The sequence below is a fragment of the Homo sapiens genome, chromosome 1, assembly GCF_000001405.40.
Source record: "Homo sapiens chromosome 1, GRCh38.p14 Primary Assembly".
Lineage (NCBI taxonomy): Eukaryota > Metazoa > Chordata > Mammalia > Primates > Hominidae > Homo > Homo sapiens.
In genome coordinates this window covers 232,093,295-232,116,395 of record NC_000001.11, presented here as the reverse complement: position 1 = coordinate 232,116,395, position 23,101 = coordinate 232,093,295, and positions in this window count along the sequence as shown.

The following is a 23,101-nucleotide window of genomic DNA, read 5'->3' as shown; positions in this document are numbered from 1 at the left end:
AATTGAAAACAGGTACTCAAACAAGTACATATACACATCTGTTCATGACAGCACTATTCACAATAGCCAAAAAGTGGAAACAGCTCAAATGTTCATCAAGAGATGAATAAAGAAATTGTGGTATATACATACAGTGAAATATTATTTGTCCATAAAATAAAACAAAGTACTGTACATGCTACCACATGGATGAACCTTGAAAACATGCTAAGCAAAAGTAGCCGGACAGAAGAGGTCATGTATTCTATGAGTTTATTCATATGAAATATCCAAAATAGATAAACCCAAGGAGATAAAGTGCAGGCTGGTGGTTGCTAGGGATGAGACAGGAAGGAATTGGGAGAAACTGCTTATTATTTATGGGTTTTACTTTGGAGTTATGGACATATTTGGAACTAAATAGAGATTGTGGCTGCAAAACATTGTGAATACATAAAATGCCACTGAATTGCTCACTTTAAAATGGCTAATTTTGTATGAATGTCACCTGAAAAAATTATTTTTTAAAAAAGAAAAATGCCACTCTTCTCAATAGCTTATTTTAAAATTAGCTGAACTTTTGTTTCTATCCAATCTGCAAAAAGAAATCAATAATTTCACATTTAGCTGGCTAATGTTAATATCATCTATTAGCCAATGTGGGCATTATCCGGTTGCATTTGGGTAATATATTTTTCTTCACGTCATTAGGGACCTCGGTTAATAATTCTGATCACCAGATAACCCTAATTGTAGCTAAATCTGACAGCAGATGCCACAGCATATCTTTTCTTTGTTCCATAATTGGTTAGCTCTGGGTTAGGCACAGAGTAAGCATAATCTGGGAATATGTCTTAAAATAATTATCTAAAACCAGGACAATGCATTAACCATGTGCCTTTTCATTTCTGGTAAGTGTCGTTTGTGAGCTTAGTGTTTCAACCGCTTGTATGTTCTCTATAAATTTCATGGCATAAAAGTATATGTTTACTACATGTTATCAAAGGAGAGATACTCTGACTTTATTGCAACTATTATAACCAAAAAAAAAAAATCACAGAATGAGCTATGTGGGGAACCTTGATAGGTAAATTGATGCTCAAGCCTTTGGCATCTTGTCACCTGAGCCTGAACCCATGACCTACTCTGTTGTGTGCATTGAGAGTTGAGTTAATGCCATTGGCAAGCAAGGCATTGAATTAGATAATCTCAAATGATAACTCTTTAATCTCATTATGAAACAACTGGTCTTGTCTAATTGTTTCCCTATTAAATGTCATAATCAGATTCAAGATGGTGAAAAAATACTGACTTGGTAGCAGGATGCTAAGTCTAAATTGTATTATTAATAAACTGCAAGTATTACATCAGGAGTCAAAAGGGTAGAGTTTACTCAGAAGGTGGCAATGAACAAAAATGCTCAGCAAATTGCTTGAGCTTCTCAACTGGTGTTGGAATATCTGGTAGTAGATAATAATAACAATAATAATTGGTTATTAAATTCTTACAGAGTAGTGGACCCTGGATTAAATGATTTATCTAGACTGATTTCATTTTTATAAGGAGAGAAATAAAAAGGTTAAAGATCTTATTTTTATTTGGCAGATCCATGATTCAAATCCAAGTTTCTGTGACTCTACAGTCTTTAAATGCTTATGTAACACCATGTTCCAGATCCTCTCAAACCATAACTTGGAATACTCTAAGTCTCCAGAGAGATCAGGCATGCAATGGAGTGAGACTGTCTTTCTTGCTAACTTCAATTTGATTTAATGAAAGATAGGAACTAAACAGGTAATTTATACAACTAGCTAGAACTTTTAAAACATAGACATGCATTGCTTAATGATGGGGATACATTGTGAGAAAAGCATCCTTAGGTGATTTAGTGGTTGTGAAAACATCACAGAGCGTACTTAGACACACCTAGAGGGTATAGCTCACTCCACATCTAGGCTATATGGTACAGTCTATTGCTCCTAGGCTACAAATCTGTAAAAGTGTGCCTATACTCAATACTGTAGGTAACTGTATCACAGTAGTAAGTAATTTTCTATCTAAACGTATATAAACATAGAAAAGGTATACAATAAGTATAAAAAATAAAATAGGTATACAAAATAAAAAATGGTCACCTGTATAGGGCACTTACAATGAATGGAGTTTGCCGGGCTGGAAGTTGCTCTGGGTGAGTCAGTGAGTGGGTAGTGAGTGAATGTGAAGGTCTAGGACATTACTATACACTACTGTAGACTTTATAAACACTGTACACTTAGGTTACACTACATTTACTTAAAAAATAAAGCAATTGCACTACAAGGTTGCAATAGCTACATCACTAGGCAATGGGAAATTTTCAGCTCAATTATTATCTTATGGGACCACCTGTATATGTGGCTCATCATTGACCGAAACATTATGCGGCACATGACCGTATCTCTGAGATTTCTCACCAGGCTTCTGACAAGTTACGGATAAAGAAGAAAACAAAATCCCTCACTTATATTGGTAATGTGCCTCATGTCCACCAAATGTTTGTTTTTTAAATGTCGATGGGCCGCATTTTTATGCCACAACCTGCCAGTTTGGGATATACATTAATTATATCTTTGGCTCTACAATACCTCAGTGGGTTGGAAGAAAAGAGGCTCACTTTAGTTTTGGGTTTTTTTTTTTCTTTTATAATTTCAATGTTTAGAATCAGGGAGTACGTGGGCAGGTTTGCTACAAGAGTATATTGCATGACACTGAGGTTTGGGGTACTAATGATCCTGTCACCCAGGTAGTGAGCATAGTACCCAGTAGGTGGTTTTTAGATCCTTACCTCCCTCATTTTCTCCCCGCCTTAGTAGTCCTCAGTGTCTGTTGTTCTTGTCTTTATGTTCATGTGTACCCAGTGCCTAGCTCCAACTAATAAGTGAGAACATGCAGTATTTGGTTTACTCTTTCTGCCTGTATTTGCTTAGGATAATGGTCTCCACCTGCATCCATGTTGCCACAAAGGACATGATTTCATTCTTTTTATGGCTGCATAGTATTCCATGGTGTATATGTACCATATTTTATTTTATACCCAAAGGAAAATAAATTGCTCTACCAAAAAGACACATGTGCTCATAGGTTCATCACAGCACTAGTCACAACAGCCAAGTCATGGAATCAACCTAGATACAGCCTAAGAGCATCTTATTCCCTGGCCCAATTCATGCCAGAAAAAGAACAACTTTAAATTAACATATGACTCCAGCATTTCTGCTATGAAAGCCATTGAGTGGGGGATCTAATTCTCAATTCACTTCAACTCAATTCTAATAAAATCAAACTCAGTAAATATTCACTCTGTGCCTACTACAGCTTGGCATCACCTGGGACAGATGTAATAAGAATAAGGTCCCTGTTCTCAAAGAACTCACAGACAAGTATTGAAGTCAGTTGAGTCAACATGAATATCACTCTGGTAGACAGGGGCTGAGACAGAGGCAGAATGTACCAAGGGAAGAGTGGTTGTTGATCCAACCAGGAAAAACGGAGGGATTTCCAGAGAAGGTCCTCAATGAGCTGAGTTTTGCAGGGTAAGTCTTATCTTGAATGGATAAGAAGACTGTCAAAGGGAACAGCATGTGCAAACTCGAAAAAGGAGCAAGTCAGGCCATAAGCATTCTCAATTCTTTTGCCTCCATCATAGTCACCTAGTCTGGAGTGGCCTTTTAGCAGAATAGTTGGCCCAGGGGCAAGTGATATGACATAGCAGGGCTGTTCAGGAAACCATAAGTAGTTCTAGAAAAGGAGTCTAGCCACACAGTCCTAACCCATCCCTGCACCTTCAATTTTGATTCATCTACCTCCCCTGCATCTGTGTCTCTACCTACCCACAATTCCTCCTTGGCTGAATTTATCCACCACCATTCATATCTACCCGTGGTTTAGAAAAGGACTAATAAAGAACCAGGGCTCACAATGTGGGACTGGAGAAATTGAGAAAAGCTTTACATTCTATTTTTTCTGACTAAACTAAGATAAAAAGTCTTTCCCAGCAAGATACTATTATTATTCTTGGACAGTTCTCTATTTTTAAGATTTGGGCCAGATTATGCTTCTTGCTTTGGAGTTAGGTCAGCAAAGATCATTCTCCTTCCCAGCCCACTTTATTTTAAAAATCTCCATCTGTATTGAATTTGAACTTGAGCAGGGTCTGTTTCTGAGATTATCTTGTCACAGTTGACAATGCTCTAGTGCCCTCTCCCTTGATGTTGGTTGGTTTATAGGGTTTATTGCCAGGTTTAAAAGCTAACTTTCTGGCCTTTCATCTTTGTATGTTCTTATAACAGAAACTCAGAGCAAAAAGGGGTTTTAAAAAAAGGTCCCAGAGAGGGGAAAAAATAGATGAACAGACTATTCATCTAAATATGCTTAGTCTGATATCAAATAAATATATATTTTAGGGGAAAGAATTACAGTATAAACAGAAACATCTCAACCATCTGTCCAAAGTTCTTCCAATATAATTACATCACACTGTGGCTAATGGCTGGTTGTTGATCCAGATATTTGAAGGAGAGGGTAATACCCTCCTGGGATCTCACAGCCATCCACGGCTTCCTGCCTCATTACCACTTACCAGTTTTTTATCGACAATTAGGATTAGTGAAGAATCCAAAGCTTTCACTGGGAGAAACAGTCTCTGATTTAGTAAGTTAAATTAGCAACTGAGAATGCCTCAAACCTCAGCCTGCATGGTTTAAAGATTTCTTTCTTAAGATAATAGTAAATAAATTCAACCAAAAAAGTGCCCAGGGAAAACGTTGGAGAAAAATCTTCCATGATGACAAATATTAATCATCAAACTCAAGTGTTTATGTACTTCAAGCCTCAGTCAGCCTCCTCCAGTTATTAATATTCAAATGTCCTTTCCCTCTAGTCTGCATGCAAGAAGAAAGCATTCAAGTTTCAGACTTTTATCGATGAGTTAAGACAAGAAGATGGCAGACTCTTTTGTTTTTTCCCCTGGAAGTGAAATCTACTTTGTCTATTCACCTTCCGGAGTTTCTGGTGGTATATATATTCCTTCTGTAGAGTCGCTGAGCTGAACACCCTCCAGAAACTCAAAAAAGAGGCAAGTCAGGCCCTAAGCTCTCCCAGTTCCTCTGCCTCCATTATAATCCCCCAGTCTAGCCTGGCCTCTTAGCAGAACAGTTGAGTTTATTTATTTGATCATCTTCACCTCTTTCTTGACAGCTGACTTATCTGAAGCGTTCCTCCTAGGTGATATTTCTTCTACTGGGTCAACAAAAAGCAAGGGGCAGAATTTCAGCCACTTCCAAAGCCCCATAACCCAAATCATTAGGTCTCCCCGAGTCTGTTTATGTTCCCCCTTTTATAAACACAGACGCAGCATGGTAGCGGTGTGGAGGTGATGACAAAGGCTTTCCTTTCTCACCTCCTGCTAGGTTTTTGGCACTTTATCCCTAGCATTCTGCAGCCGACTGCATGGATTCACAGCTGGGAACTGGGAATACAAATCGCTCAGAGAGCTGAGAGGTGAAAGGGCAGCTAGAGTCTCCACAGGGCTCCCAGAATCCCACTTCCCATTCCCCTTATTCCGCTCCCCTCCCCCCAGGGTTGTCACCAACATTAGCCGCTACTGGTAACTGTAGCAGCTCAGGGTCAGCGTTTGCCGCCCCCATGCCAGGCCACTGAGTCAGTGAGGACTGCAGATTGGGGGTGGGGGCCACACTGATCTACTATGCAGAGGCACACTTGTGAGCGGACCGGCTACAGGCGAGGGAGAGGAGTATTGACATTCTCCCCTTAGGAGGGGAAAGGGAATGGTCTTGAGGTCTGCAGGGAGAGATCACAGCTGCAGGGCCCAGTGAGTTCCCTTACTCAAGCTAAGTCAGCGGTGTTCAGGCGCTGTTCAAGTCTTACCCAGCCCTGGTGCCAAGCTATTTCTGATGTTGCATTTCTTGAGGCTAGACTTGAACAGTAAGCATCATTCCTCCAGCCCATGTGGGGTCCAGATGTATATGGCTGAAGGGGAATTCTTTTTACTGCTTCTAGAGGCTCTGGGTGGATAGAAAAATTACTCCACATTCCAGTGTGTTATTTATATGCATTCTTCAGCACTCCATGATAACACGACAAGCGCCCTGAGAATTGGGAATGGAGATTGTAAAGGAGTTGAGCTGACTCAAGTAAAACAGTGAAGAAAAAAGAAAGACTGGAAACAAATTTGGAGGACTCGACAGAAGGGAGACAAAGAGAAGTAGAAAAGAACTGAGGGCTGGATTTGGGAAGACCCTTGGTTTAGTCAGCTGTTTGTATCATCATCATTAATGGGCAGCATCCATTCAATGGAAGACAGGTAGGAAAATAGTTTAATTGACTTGAGAGAACTCAGGCAGCCTGTAACCATGACCATCAGTCATCTTTCCCTGATGTCGACAATGGTAACAACAGTAACAGTATTAGAGGAATAACACATTTTCCTAGAACTCCCACTTTCAAAGATTCTTTTCTCACTCATTTCTATAGACTTTCATGGGCACTATTTCATTTGCCATCTTCAGTTCTCCATCCCCACCCCAGGGCTCAGAAAGAAGGCTGGGCTTATGGAAAAGGCAAGGGCTGAGAAACAGACAGATCTTGATTCAGATCTCCACTGTGTGACCTTAGACAAATTACTAAATTCTGACTATCTTCAGGTTTCTCATCTGTGAAATGGAAGGAAACAATGTGCACTCACATTTGGTTGGGTGGCTTAAAAGAAGCATGCATTAGCATTCAACATATGGTAGCTATTGGCTTCAAACCCATTTTACACACCAGGAAGTTTATCTAACATCACCCACAACTCTGTACTCCAAGCCAAAATGGCTTACTGAAGTCTGTTGCCTCCCAGCCTGCAAATTAAAATAAAATAGGATCCAAGGAGCATTGCAGCATAATAGAATGCATGACGACATGGAGTGAAGACACCTTGATTTGTCCTAGCCCTTCAAGTGCTTACAGAATTGAGATAATTTATATGAAGCACTTAACATAGTGTCTGGTATATCAAAAACACAATATCTAAGTGTCCTTTCTCTCTTGCTCCACATTCAGTTGGATAGGAAATCTCATTGGCTCTACCACCTAGATATATTCTCTTACATATGTGCATGTGCATGTATGTGTGTGTGAGGCATGGGAATGAGTTATGCCAATATGGGTGGGAGGAGACAACTTATATATACATATATTCTACTCCTTTCCCCAACTCCCACTGCTACTGTCTGATCTAAGACACACCATTTCTGGCCTGAATGATTGACTATAGCCTCTTAACCAGGCTCCCTATTTGTTCTCTACGTTCTGCTGTCTGTACTTAGCAGCCAGGGTAATATTTTAAAACATAATTCAAACCATGCCATGCCTCTGCCTTGAGCATTCCAAGGGCTCCTGACTTCATTCAGAGCAAAAGCAAAAATCCTTAAAATGGCCTACAAAGTCCAGCCTAATGTGGCCTCCCCGCCTCCCAGCCTTACTTCTCTGAGCTCTGACACACCTCTCACTACCCTCCCCCAACTTACTCTACTGTCCCCAACCCTGGGGCCTCCACAGCCAAACCTGGTGTGGGCTGGCTTCTCTCCCTGCTGTCCCTTCCTACTCATATCCGCCTGACTCATTCCCACACTTCCTTGACATCTTTGCTCAAATGTCACCGTATTTAAAATTGTATCTGCTCTGGCTCCCAGCTCTCCTGGTTCCCCTTAGCCTGCTCTCTTTTTCCCACTGCATCACCACTAACCTACCAGGTAAGTGACTTATTAATGGTGTACATTGTCTCCCTGCCGAGGTGTAAGCTCCATGATGGCAGAGATTTTTTTGTCTGCATGTTCGTAGCTATATCCTAAGTAACCCAACCAGTGTCAGCCCACAGTAGGGACTCAACTGGTATTTGCTGAATAAATTAATAAGTGGTCATCATCTTTAGAGAGAAAATCTCAACCTCTAAGAGTCTGCAACTCTCCTTTTTCTTTGTTTTACAAATAGGGTGGGGAGGAAAAGAAAAAGTATGATCATGATCTGAAAATTTCTTTCAGCTCTGGAAGTCAATTTAAATTTACTAAAGCATGAATTTATTCATTCATCAAAGGAATATTTATTGAACATTTACTAAATGCTGAGAATACTAAAAAAGTGAATGCAATAGATTCCCTAATATTCCTAATTTTGTGAGAGAAGTAGACTTGTAAACCAATAAGTGAAGGATACTTAGACAGGTGTTACAGAGTGAAATGAGTGTGGATTCAGAGAAAAGTCTCTAACTTTTCTGGAGTGACGAGTGAGAGTTGGAAGGCTGAGGACAGAGGCAGAGGAAAAATGCATTTAAGAAGACTTCGTGGAGATTTATCAGTTGAGGCTGGAAAGATGGATAAGAATTTGTAGGTTGAGGAAGAGGGATGATATTCCAGGCAAAGGCATGAGGTTCCTGAAGTGGTAGGGTGGGGCGGGGTGGGAATGGTAGGCTTAGGGTAGAGAGGGAACTGAGGCTTTACTCTGCCACTCATGGGAGCCTCTGGTTTGATATTAAGTAGGGCAATTATATAATCATACATACATTTCTAATACATCACTACGATGTGAAAAATTGGAGGTGGGGGGAATAAAATGGAAGGCGACAGCAATGCTATGGTCGTCTCATGTCAGGGTCTTGAGCCTAGGGCTCAAGAGTCAAATACTTCGTAAAGGTCACATTCTAAATATATTATTACTTTGTAATCTGCTTTTCCTTCAGTTAGTATAAACATCTTTTCATGTCCATCTATATAGAGATGGACATGAAAAGATGTTTATACTAATCTGTATATGCAGATAATATATGCTAATCTATATATACAGATAGCATATACAGATAGTATATGCTATCTGTATATACAGATAGTACATACTAATACTGTACAGATTAGTATGTACTATCTGTATATACAGATATAGATGGACCTGAAAAAATGCTTATACTAACTGAAAGAAAAGCAATTACCCTTAATGACTGCACTATATTCCATTCTCCAGTGTATCTAATGTATTTAACAGGCCCCTTATTGCATATGAAGATATCTTATGAGTTTTTAGCATCTATGTCTACATTCATTGCTTTGATTATACCTATATTAGAGTGCAGTCTAAAATAGCCTTAAATAACTTTGACAGATAGTAACTTAGAAATCACTCTTTATGGTAGACAGCATCTCCATTTGATGGATGTGAAAACTAAGCTTTAATGGAATAATTCCCTTGCCTAAAGTCACAGAGCTACTGGTGACCCACCGTGATTTCAACCCAACATATGTGTGGCCTTTGAAGCTCAGCTTATTGGATTAACATTTTGCATAAATACTCATGGAATCCTGTGTCTGGAAAATACTTTATAGTTGTATAATCCATTCTCCCTCTAAGGTTTTATAAGGTGGGCAAAGCTCTAACTGAGGATTTAGACCTTTTGTATTTTGACCTTCTTAGTAAACCAGTTTTAACCTAAATTAGGAAGCCAGTGACCAGCCCCAAGCACAGTCACTCCTAACCCTCAGGTAGATGGGTGCCTTCACAAGGAAACATACTCTATCAGCACCCTGACCCCAGAGGCCCTGATCTTCTGTCCCAGGAATATGTGTGCAGGTGGGATCTTAGCAAGCACACGCTATGAGCTGAACCATTGCTTGCAAGTGTCTTCATCAGGCACTGTGCCTGGTACACACAATTATACACAGCACTTGTCCACCCCTCTTTTCACCCACAAAGTGCTGCAGATGAATATTCCATCTGATCGCAGCAGAAATCATGAATTTGAAGTCTGCAGCTAGATGACATCATACCCTGAAATGGGAGGAAGAAAATGTCAATTTTCATCTACTAAATGTCAAGCAACCAGCTTGACTGATTGTTTTTACTGACTTGACCAAATCGATAGGTTGTTAAGTCATCGTGTTGACACTGATTAAATCAATACAGTTTGATTTGGAAGGAAGAAGCTGATAACAACCGCAAACATTTAAGCAGTGACCATTCAAATGCTTACTGTGGTGTACCCTGCCGTCTTTGTGCATCATCAGAATTCCTGTCCATTCTCACATTAACCCTGTGAGGTGGGCACTCTTACTATGAATATCTCCATCTCACACAAGAGGAAACTGAGTTTGAGAAAAGTTATACATCTTGCCCAAGATCATCCAGGTAGTGAACAGGCCAGAACTTGAGCCAAGGACTTAGCTATTATGCTCTACTGCTATTGCTAATCGCTTGAAAAATGCTGCAGGACCCAGCTCTTGGCGGAGTTGGATGGCTCCACTGCAGCCTCCTGCTCTGCAGGTGAAGGGCAGCAATGGGGCCAAAGTCTTCCGTGGGCCCCCTATCAATAGTGAGCAAATAATCAGCCAGACCACTCTTGCTGTGCTGTCTCAGGGTTTTCTTTTGTTACCTAGTGATAAAAGAGTGTCCTGGAAGTTGCACACAAAGCTAGAGTGAGTTTCTTCATTTGGATTTTTATGCTTCGATGCTTTGAGGTTGGGGGTGGGGAACAATAGAGCTTAAGCCTGGAAAAACTCACTCTGTTGTGTGCCTCACGTGCACAGCTCTGGCCGACGTGTGTGTTTATAGATATTTATTTCCTTGCCTGTGTTGGAATCATTTGAGCCCCCTGTGCTTTGAACTTGAAAGGATCTTCAAAGGGTGACATCCCCTCAGAAGTCTGGACACAAAGCTGCTTTCTGCCTGCTCTTCCTCTGGTTGCTGAGCATCACAGTGGGTTTAGGTGGATTATCTTTTCTCTCCCCGACTGTGGCCTAACCGTTCTTACAGCTCCGGAATGTCTTAGTGTTCAGTACCTGTCGTGGATCAAACTGTCCTTAGGTCTGGTATGCTTCAAGCAGAAAGAAAGAAGAATGTTGAGTGCTTTAAAAACTTTCGTTTACCTCTTTCTTGCTTATGATTTTTATTTCAACAAGCAAACATATAGTACTTCTGAAAAGCCAGTTCCTGTTTAGCATCTAGGATGGCCATTTTGATACTTGTCTGTCTTCTGTCTCCCACAAAGATACACTGGCAGAAGAAGAGACAGGGGAACCACTGTAAAGAAACTTAGGGGGGTCTGGGCACGGTGGCTTATGCCTGTAATACCAACACTTTGGGAGGCTGAGGTGGGTGGGTCACCTGAGGTTCGGAGTTTGAGACCAGCCTGACCAACGTGGAGAAACCCTGTCTCTATTAAAAATACAAAAAATTAGCCAGGTGTGGTGGTGCATGTCTGTAATCCCAGCTACTCGGGAGGCTGAGGTAGGAGAGTCGCTTGAACCTGGGAGGTGGAGGTTACAGTGAGCCAAGATTGCACCATTGCACTCTAGTCTGGGCAACAAGAGCAAAACTCTGTCTCAAAAAAAAAAGAAAAAGAGAGAAGAAAGAAGAAACAACAAACTTAGGGGGACAAGCAATTTGTAACTCAAAAAAGGAGTTCTAATCCTATTTCTGCTCAGTAGGAACTCCAGTGACAGGTAGAGGGCCACAACATATGATGATAAGGACAATCATCTGAAGCCTTGGATGACTGCCCTACTTTGGAGGAAGCCTGCTTTGGAGTATTGCAATGAATGAATGAATGAGCAACCCACCCTGCTTTGCAGGAAACATCGCAATGGGACACACTCTGCAGCCAGACCCAAGGCCACGGCCAGAAACAAGAAAGGGTACACAATTTGTGGAGTGTGGCTGTGAGCGGAGGTGAGCTGCAGCAAGAATGGTAACGAACCAGGAGACAAAAGACCCGGATTTTGCTTGTTACTCAGCAGTCCCCGCATCGGCTAAATGCAACTGCAAAGCAAGATCATTCAAAGACTATTAAGAACTTGAGAGCTGAAATCTCAAAAAATAGAGGAATCAAAATTACCAGTGTGGGAAAAATCAAAATTTTGTTAGACCTCTTCATGCTTATTTTATGATTTTGCATTGCATTTGTGTTTATTTGTGCACTGGGGAGTTGAGTGTTAGTAGTTGGCATGCAAACTTTTTGATGCCTAGGACTTCTAAAGGTCGGTCTCACCTGGACTTTATCCTAGAAACTTCCATCTTCCATCTAATTCTTGGCAAGTCTGAGGCCCAGTTTTCTTCTTTGATGTTGGACAAGGTTTGATGGAGTGAGGGGTATGACATGGGGATCAGATGAGGTTTAAACTTAAAAAATCTGGGATCTCAACTAATTTTGACTCTTACATGCTTCCTCCAAGAAAGAGAGATTGCTGATATACACAATATATGGATTGGTTAAAAGAAGAGCCATATTTCAGAAGACTAGCCTGATTGAAAAAGTCTTCTGAAATCAGAAAACCATTTTAACTGCAGGCAGAGGAGGCTTTGTTGGCACTTGGAGTCTACAAAGTGTGAAAAGAGAATAGGTGGGTTTAACCTTAGGAACTATTCCCAGAGATCTCTTAATACTTCTTGTTAGAGATGTGGGAAGGATTGTTTTAAGTATTTCCAGTGAGAACGTCATTGCAATTTCAGGTCTGGAAAACAAAGGAATACTTGAAAAAAAATGCAGATCCACAATTGATTTTTGCAAGCTTTGGTGTTCTCATACCTGGAGGCAAGACCTATAGGAAATGGATCTTCCAGTGCTTCATGCACCATGTAGGAGAGCCAGGCCTCTGTTTCATATTAGATCACTGATGCAGAACCATGATGTAGAGGTGTGTTCTCCTTCTCATTGGGCTTTCTTTTGTGTATTTTATGTAAAGACTCTGTTAAGACCTCGACTCCTTAAAATAGGATTTCCAGTATCTTCCACCCAAGAGAAAGAAATTTATGCCAATCCTTTTCTGCCTGGCTAGTTAACCCTGGGTAAAATCACTCCACCTATACACACTTGTGAAACTAGCCAAGGGGTCCCCGCAGCAGTCAAGAACCCAGAAAGAGCTTGGTAAATTTTGGCTCTCATTTTATTGTTATTTAAGAAGTTAACTAGAATAAAGTAAAGCTATAACAGTTGTCACCACTTGCCATAAAATACCCTTCACTATACACATACAATCTCAGTGGCAACAACACCACAGCCTTTCTAGGCTTGCTGTCTTTACTTAGTGTCTCTTTCCAAAATGAATGCTGGGTTTTGCACAGTTTATTTACCTATTTCATAAATACAAATTCCATAGTCCCACAGATATAATTACCTTCTTCATTCGAGGTGTCTTGTGTTTTTTCAGATGGCCTCAAAGAAACATGCATGATGCTTGGTATGTAACAAAGACTAGCTGAGATGAAGAATTATTTAGAGCTGGCAGGGAGAAAAAATTTTGCTAGAGTTCATGATGAATAATTCTGGTAAATGCTCCCAAAGCTAATTAGAACTTAATTAGATACCATCGCACATTATTTGCTGATGGTTTCATGTGTTTATTCATCTTTTCCTTACTGCTTTTTAAGTTCCATGAGCATGGGCCAGGTGCAGTGGCTCATGCCTGTAATCCCAGCACTTTGGGAGGCTGAGGCAGTGGATCACGAGGTCAGGAGATCGAGACCATCTTGGCTAACACAGTGAAACTCCGTCTCTACTAAAACTACAAAAAATTAGCCGGGGGTGGTGGCGGGCGCCTGTAGTCCCAGCTATTCGGGAGGCTGAGGCAAGAGAATGGCATGAATCCAGGAGGCATAGCTTGCAGTGAACCGAGATGATGCCGCTGCACTCCAGCCTGGGCGACAGAGCGAGACTCCATCTCAAAAATAAATAAATACATAAAAATTAAAATTAAAAAAATAAAAAAATAAGTTCCATGAGAGTAGACATTTTTCACACATATTTAGGTCCACCTTACCTACTACATCTATGCAACATATATATAATTACATAGTAAATAGTTAAGAATAAAGCCCTTTACCCCAGTGTCCTAGACTTACCACAAAAAGGCTTGTATTAGGCTGTTCCTGCATTGCTATAAAAGAATACCAAAGGCTGGCTAATTTATAAAGAAAAGAAGTTTAATTGGCTCATGGTTCTGCAGGCTGTACCAGCATGACTTCAGCATCTGCTTCTGGTGAGAGCCCCAGGAGCCTTTTGGTCATGGCAGAAGGCAAAACGGGAGCAGGCACAGCACACAGTGAGAGCAGAAGCAAGAGAGTAAATGGGAAAACCCGCACACTTTTAAACAACCAGATGCCTCGTGAACTCAGAGCAAGAACTCACTTATTCCTAAAGGGACGGTGCTAAACCGTGCATGAAGTGTCCACCCCCATGATCCAATCACCTCTCACCAGGCCCCACCTCCAACACTGGATATTACATTTCTTTTTTTTTTTTTTTTTTTTTTTTGAGACAAAGTTTTGCTCTTGTTGCCCAGATTGGAGTGCAATGGCGCTATCTATCTCAGCTCACTGCAACCTCCACCTCCTGGGTTCAAGTGATTCTCCTGCCTCAGTCTCCTGAGTAGCTGGGATTACAGGCATACGCTACCATGCCCCACTAATGTTGTATTTTTAGTAGAGACAGGGTTTTTCTATGTTGGTCAGTCTGGTCTCGAACTCCCAACCTCAGGTGATCCACCCACCTCAGCCTCCCAAAGTGCTGGGATTACAGGCGTGAGCCACCGTGCCCGGCCTGGAGATTACATTTTAACATGAGATTTGGAGGGGACAAATAGCCAAACTATATCAATGTCTTATAGCATCCTAGTAACTTAGAAAAGACCCCTTTGAATTAACCAGCTTACCTAAAAGAATGCAATTGACCTTTGTGCTCACACACAGGTAGAAAAGTCTGCGAGTAACCCATCTGAACACTGCAGCACCTGACAGCTGCATTTTCCTTGAGGTCCTAACTTTTGTTACAGCTCTGTTTGGAATAATTGTGGATGTGTTATGGCAAAATATCAAGTGAAGGAACCAGAAAAATGAGAGAAATCAGAACTCAGAGGGCGTAAACACACACATACTATTGTTCAATGCACTTGGCTTTAGAGCTGCAGTCTGAACATAAAGCCAAGGGACAAATTCTCTTCTACAGTGAAACTTTCATCAGAAGGTCCCAGCAAGACACTTAAGTTACTTTTGCAATGCTCTCATGCCAAAACTAAGGGTATAAATTGAACAATTGATGTCTTTCATAATGGAGAGTTTTAAAACAGTGCTAGTGCATTCTAAGCAGTATGTTTTTATCCTCACAGGAGTTCCACAAAGTAGGTTTTCTTATTCTGCTGTCTAGTTCATGCTGAGCTGCATTCACACTGAAGTGCAGGATGCTGCTTCACTTGCCCAGGGGTCACAGGATTAGCAGGTGGAGGGACAAAGATCCAACCTTTGTCTGTGCACCTTCAATCATCTTTCCAAATCTTTTCTAGCCTCTTCTCTTCTACCTTCCCTCACTCACTTATCATGGATCCACCAAGCAGCTTCCTTAAGTGGAGGTAGAAGGAGGCATACCACCTGCTCCCATATGGGACATTCCGATTTCATCTTCATCTACATAACAACGTTTTTCCAACTCTGCAGTGCAAAATGTATTTTAAAGTTATTTCTTGGAATAATTATCTTATCTGAAAGTCAATCCACTCCTCTTTTACTTGGGATTGGTCTACAAAAAGTAAGATATTTTCTTCAAGGCTTTTTGCTCTTTTCTGCATGTGATGGTGCAGATTCTGGAGGGAATGGTACCACCAAGAATGCTGTCAGATGTTGCGGGAAGTCAGGGACCCCAAAAGCAGGGACTGGATAGAGCCGTGGGAGAGGAACATAAATTGTGAAGATTTCATGGACATTTATCAGTTCCCAAAATTAATACTTTTATAATTTCTCATGCCTGTATGTACTGCAATCTCTGAACATAAATTGTGAAGATTTCATGGACACTTATCAGTTCCCAAAATTAATACTCTTATAAATTCTTATTCCTTTCTTTACTTTAATCTCTTAATCCTGTTATCTTCGTAAGCTGAGAATGTACGTCACCTCAGGGCCACTATTGTACAAATTGATTGCAAAACGTGTGTTTGAACAATAAGAAATCAGTGCACCTTGAAAACGAACAGAATAACAGCGATTTTAGGGAACAAGGGAAGACAACCAAAAGTCTGACTGCCTGCGGAGTCGGGCAGAATAGAGCCATATTTTTCTTCTTGCAGAGAGCCTATAAACGGATGTGGAAGTAGGAGAGATATCACTAAATTCTTCTCCTAGCAAGGAATATTAAATATTAAGACCCTTAATTACATTCCTGGGGAAAAGAATTACATTCCTGGGGGAAAGTCTATAAACGGCCGCTCTGGGAGTGTCTGTCTTACGCAGTTGAGATAAAGACTGAAATACGCCCTGGTCTCCTGCAGTATCCTCAGGCTTATTAGGGTGGGGAAAAAATCCCACCCTGGTGAATTTGAGGTCAGACTAGTTCTCCGCTCTCAAACCCTGTTTTCTGTTGTTTAAGATGTTTATCAAGACAATACGTGCACAGCTGAACATAGACCCTCATCAGTAATTCTAATTTTGCCCTTGCCTTGTGATCTTGCTTTGCCCTTTGACTTGTGATCTTTATTGGCCTCAGAAGCATGTGAACTTTGTTCTCCTTTTTTGCCCTTTGAAGCATGTAATCTTTGTGACCTACTCCCTGTTCGTACATCCCCTCCCCTTTTGAAATCCCTAATAAAAACTTGCTGGTGTTGCCGCTCAGGGGGGCATCATGGACCTACCAATATGGGTGTTACCCCTGGTGGCCCAATTCCGCAGTAAAATTCCTCTCTTTGTACTCTTTCTCTTTATTTCTCAGACTGGCAGACACTTAGGGAAAACAGAAAGAACCTGTGTTGAAATATTGGTGGCTGGTTCCCCCGATAGTCAGGGTGACCTAATCAGTTTCCCAAGGAAGACAGTAGACATCTGTGTCAGGGGCTGAATGTACCTGGGTCCCTCTTAACCCTGTTCCCTTGACATTTAGGGAACTAGCAAGAATGAATGGATGTCCTCATCACTCCTCCGGGTTTTGGAGTGAAAGATGGGCAGCATCGCTCTTTGAAGATCGCAAAGCTCCTAATCCAGATGCTAATTCCCCTCTCCATCTGCACGTCCCTTGTGGTTCACAGTGTTCTTAGCTCTACAACCTAAGACAGTGAGGGGTCCTCAGTGACCCTTGAAGAGCTCGACAACACTGGCTTGAAATTCCCAAAGCCCTCTCCAAGTGTTCTTCAAATTCTCCAGCAGCTTTTCTTCTCATGGCTACGCTGGACTGTTTCCAAGCACATTGCCGCACTAGGCGTATTTTGGGCTCAGACCAGGAACCAAAACTCCTGCTCAGTCTCCATAAGTAAGACTTATCTCTGACAGCACCCAAGGCAGCCAGGTGCTGAGTTGAACAAATGAAGTTTGAGAGGAAGATGGGCTTACCTCTCAGCTACAGCACTTCAGAGGAAGCCTGCTCAGTGCCATCCCGTCACTTGTGATTCGCCCCTTATCCAGCCTCCATCACCCTGCATCTGCAAGCTCCCCTTTTCCCATCTCTCCTTCTTTCCTCCACTCAGGTCCATTTTTTTTGATTGATTGATTTTTTACAAATAAACTTAATTTTTTTTTTTGAGATGGAGTCTTGCTCTGTCATCTGGGCTGAAGTGTAGTGGCACAATCTCAGATTGCTGCAACCTCCACCTCCCAGGTTCAAGTGATTCTCGTGCCTCAGTCTTTCAAGCAGCTGGGATCAGAGGTGTGCACCACCGTACCTGGCTAATTTTTTGTATTTTTAGTAGAGATGGAGTTTCACCATGTTGGCCAGGCTGGTCTTGAACTCCTGACCTCAGGTAATCTGCCCGCTTCAGCCTCCCAAAGTGCTGGGATTACAGGCATGAGCCACCACACTCAGCCAAACATAAACTTTGTTTTTTAAGGGTGGCTTACACTGCCCAACACAGCAAAATTAAGCAGAAAGTATAGAGATTTCCCATGTACCTCATATCCCCCCTCCCCTGCCCTACACACAACCTCTCCCATTATCAACATCTCAACCAGAGTGGTCCATTTGTTACAGTGGATACACCTATGCTGACACATCATCATCACCCAAAATTCATAGTGAACCCAGTTTACATTAGGGTTCACTCTTGTTGCTGTACATTCATTAGGTTTGGACAAATGTATAATGACCTGTATCTACCATTATAGAATCACACAATCATTGCACTGCTCTAAAAATAGTAGTGCTCTGCCTATTCATTTCTTCCTCCCCACAACTTTGACAACCCCTGCTCTTTTGATCCTCTCCACAGTTTTGCTTTTCCCAGGGTGTTAAATAGTTAGAATCTCACAGCATATTGCCTTTTCAGATTGGCCTCTTTCAGTAAATGCTATGCAATGATGCTTCTTCCATCTCTTTTTGTGGCTTGATAGCTCATTTCTTTTTATTGCTAGATAATATTTTATTTATCTGGGTGGACTGCAGCTTATCCATTTGCATACAGCAGGCCATCTTGGTTGCTTCTAAGTTTGGCAATTACAAATAAACCTGCTGTAAACATCCCTGGTGTTCAGTTCCTTTTAATAGCAAAATATCAAATCACTCCCCCTTTCTTCTGCAGAGCCCCTTCCTTTCTCCTCTAGTGATTTGGAGCCTGCTGACATAGCCATTCTCAGGGTCTTACCCATCTTGTGGGCTTTTCTGTGAATGCTTTCAAAGATGCTTTTCCCCAAAGAGGATACCAAAGGCAGCCATTTAGATCATTCTTTTTTTCACTATGTGACACAGATGCACTAATTCTTACAATATCACCCTTGTGCCTGACTTATAAATGAGGAAATGCATCTCCACAGAGCTTGAGAAAAGGCCAACATGCAGAATGGTAGATGCTGCAGGTCGGGGGCCTGGTACACATACTCTTGGAGCTCACTCTGTCCAGGTCCCCTTAGGTCCTGTCTGTGGCTGCAGCCCCCAAAGCCCTGCTTCTACCAGCTTTGCTACCACGAGCCGTACCTGTAACTTTAGAGAGTCCACATTGGGTGCTAGAGCAGCCTTCCCCCGCATGCCCTTTATGTCTTCCTTCCTCCCCCAGGGCAGCCAGTAGATGTTTTGTGGGTGGTACAAAAGCCCAGCTCCCTTGCCTTGAGGCAGGACAAGCTCTGAGATGTCATTTGCCCTCCAGAGCTCCCCACGAACTCAGGCCGAGCCTGATGCTTCACCAGAAAGCTCACCTGTGCTTGGCCTCTTCCTCCTTCCTGATCTGTACCCCTCACTCTCAAACAGGTTTCCCCTGGGAGAACTTCTTCAATAAAGTGTTCTCATCATCCTAAAGCCTTGCCTCAGAGTCTGCTTCTGGGCGAACCCAACCTCAGGCGGAATGAGGTTCACCTTTCTCTTAGGCCTGTGAGGAAGGGGTATGGCCTGGGAGTGCTGCATCCTTGGGAAGAGCCCTTGGCTTTCAGGCCCCTGAGGTTATGACACTGTCCACAGGCCTGCCACATGCACAAGGCTGCTGTCAGCATTTCTCTTGCTTCATTCTTCGGAAGGACAGGAATGCCAGATGACTGAAGACCACAAGATATTCAAGAAGTCAAGACCACAAGAGGACCAAAACAAACAAATAGGGGGAAAAAGGACATTGGAATAAATGAGTTAATGGAAGGCTCAGAAAGTAACCAAAATAAGTGTAATTCCCAGGGATTATATAAGTTACTGTATCCACAAATGACAAAGAAATGCAATCAGAAGGTGAAAAGGTTTTAGAATTTAACAAATATGAGTGCCAAAATAGGAACAATTTAGTATGAGGATTGGAAGGCAAAGTCAAAGTCATCTCCCAGAATGTAAACCCAAATTATCAAGAGATGGGACAAATAAGCGATTAAGAGATGTGGGCCAGGCATGGTGGCTCATGCCTGTAATCCCAGCACTTTGGGAGGCCAAGGCAGATGGATCATGAGGTCAAGAATTTGAGACCAGCCTGGCCAACACAGTGAAACCCTGTCTCTACTAAAAATACAAAATATTAGCTAGGCACGGTGGCAGGTGCCTGTAATCCCAGCTACTCAGGAGACTGAGGCAGGAGATTTGCTTGAACCCAGGAGGTGGAGGTTGCAGTGAGCCGAGATTGCGCCACTGTACTCCAGCCCAGAGGACAGTGCGAGACTCCGTCTCGAAAAATATGTGAAGATGGCCCAAGACCCCGCTATTAAAAGCTATTAAAAGCCAAGGGTTGATGAGTGGACACAAAAGTGCAGCTAGATAAGAGAAATAAGTCCTACTGCCCCATAACACTCTAGGGTGGCTCTCACAAACAACGTCTATTATATATTTTCAAATAGCTAAAAGAGCAGATTTTGAATGTTCCCAACACAAAGAAACAATAAATGTTTGAGGTGATGGATATGCTAATTACTCTGATTGGCTTATTACACATTGTATACATTGTATACATGTATTGAAATATCGGCTGGGTGCGGTGGCTCACGCCTGTAATCCTAGCACTTTGGGAGGCCAAGGTGGGTGGATCACCTGAGGTCAGAAGTTCAAGACCAGCCTGGCCAACATGGTGAAACCCTGTCTCTACTAAAAATACAAAAATTAGCTGGGCATGGTGGTGCATGCCTGCAATCCCAGCTACTTGGGAGGCTGAGGCAGAAGAATCACTTGAACCTGGGAGGCAGAGTTTGCAGCAAGCCAAGATGGTGCCACGGCGTTCCAGCCTGGGCAACACAGACAGACTCCATCACACACACACAAAAAAAAAAGAGAAAAGAAATATCACATGTACCCTGTAAATATGTACAATTATTGTGTGTCAGTTTAAAATAATGACATTAAAAAAAAAAAGTCCCAGGAAGAGATTGCCAAGAAAACAAATACTTTATCAAGAAAATGACATAAGAAAAACCCCTAAACTCATGAAAGACACAAATCTCTCAACGGAAAGTCATATAAATGAAAAATCCCCACGTCTAGAAACATCATATGACATCCCAGGACACAAGGGATAAAGATATGATCATAAAAGCCTTGAGAAAGAGAAAAAGGGAGGAAAAAAATAGTTCTATACTTACAGAGAAATGAGAATCCAACTGACATTTGCTAAAAGATGTTGGACGGAATCAAAATGGCATCAAAAACTGAGGAAAACAATGATGACAAACTGTCTAAGAAAGATAAGGTCTAAATATCACATGGTTTTCAGCAAATCATGAAGAGTAGGAAAAGGTCCTTTTTAGCATCCTGTGGCATAGAATGTTGACAATGGAAATGCCGAGGTGTGCACGTAAAATCGTGCAAACAATTTCAGAAAGCAACTGCCATGCAGAAAGCCATACCAAGGTTCCAAGATAAAGTCTCTGTCACAAGAAGACTCCAGGAGGATGGAGAGAAGGAGGCTGTTATTGCAAGTCACTTATTATACTGCAATTTCCTTACACAGGCACATGGTCAAGTTTTAAAAATCTCTTTGTAACTATACTGCAGGGAATTAAGAGTAGTATGTATTTCATGCCTGACAGTGCTAGAGTGAAAGGCAGCTTTCTCTCTCTCCCCTAGGTTCAACTATTTGGGATCAATGTTAGAGAAGGTCCACTGCCCTCCCTGAGGCCTCCCTGATCCTGAAAGAGTTAGAGGTCAGAAGAGGAGAGTGCATTTAGGCTAGAAATTAGCAGCATACTATCACTCTGTATCCCTGTAAGGACATTTTTTTCCCATTGCCAGCCATGAAAATATAGGTTTTCATGTTTTTTAAAAAATTATTTATGCAACCAGACTTTGTTGAGTAGCTATTATGCACCAGTAGTGTTAGTAGGCATGAGAGGTTAAATACTGAACAAGACAAAATTCCTGCCCTTTTGTAGATTAAAGAAGAAAAATACTACAATTATCCCAAGGATATGGAAAAAGTATTAAATACAATTCAAAACTCATTCATTTATTGTAAAAATTCCTTGCAAACTAAAAGTGGAAGGGAACTGTCTTACCATGATAAATTATATCCATCAAAAACCTATGAAAACATCATGCAGAACAGTCAGACTTAGAGGTCGGGAAGACAGAGACCGCCCCCACATCACCGCTTTGATTCAGCACTGCCCTTGGAGGTTCCAAACGTACAGTTAGAAAAGAAACAAGGGGTAAAAGAAAGAAAAAGAAAAATATGTCCTTATTTTCAGTTAAAATGTTATCATAGATAATAAGAGAAACATTAGGCAATTTATCCAGATTAATATGAGAGTTTAGCAATATGGTTAAATGCAGAGTTTGATGTTACGCAGTAGGGAACGCGGAAACTGACCTAAACATACACTGAAATATGATACAGGGATAAAAGTAGCATTATAACTTATAGGTGAAGAATACATTTTATAATAAAGATGCTGTGATAATTGATTATCCATGTGGACTAAAATAAATTTAGATATCCTGTCTCACACCACAAAATCCTAAATATATTAAAGACCAAATACGAAACATATAACTTTAAGCTTTTGAAGAAAATATAGGGGAATATTCTGTCACTTCTAAGTAAAAAAAGTGTTTCTTAAACAAAATGGAAAAGACTGACATATTTGATTGCTTTAAAATTTTAAATGTCCTTATATTAAAAATCATTGTAAAGCATTATAAGCCAAAGCTTGTAATGAAGTTTTCTCACACAACTGGCAAAAGATTAGTACTTAAGATATATAAATACAGATATAAATATACCCATATATAAGATATACACATAAAAATTTAAATACATAAGGTATGTAATTATAGTATTTCAGAAGTATATAAAATTCATTTTAGATATATATGTATGTATGTATAGGTACACACAATGGGAAATGAACAAACCTAATAGAAAAAAAGGGCAGAACAAATATTTCACAATGAGAAAGCTCGAATGCCAACGAGGATTTGGAAAATTGAAAATTCTCATGCAAGTAGACCTGTAAGTTTGCTCCAACATTGGAGAGTAATTTAGCAATACCTAGTAAAGTTGAAATATGAATATTCTTCAACCTAGCAGTTCCACTTTTATGTATATGAGCTAGATAAATGCTTGCACATATGTACAAGGATATGCACAAAACTGTTTATAGAAAAGCATTTGGAAAATTCTAAATGGCCATTCCCTCTTCATAGATTGCATAACTAAATTCTCAGATATGCCTATAGTGG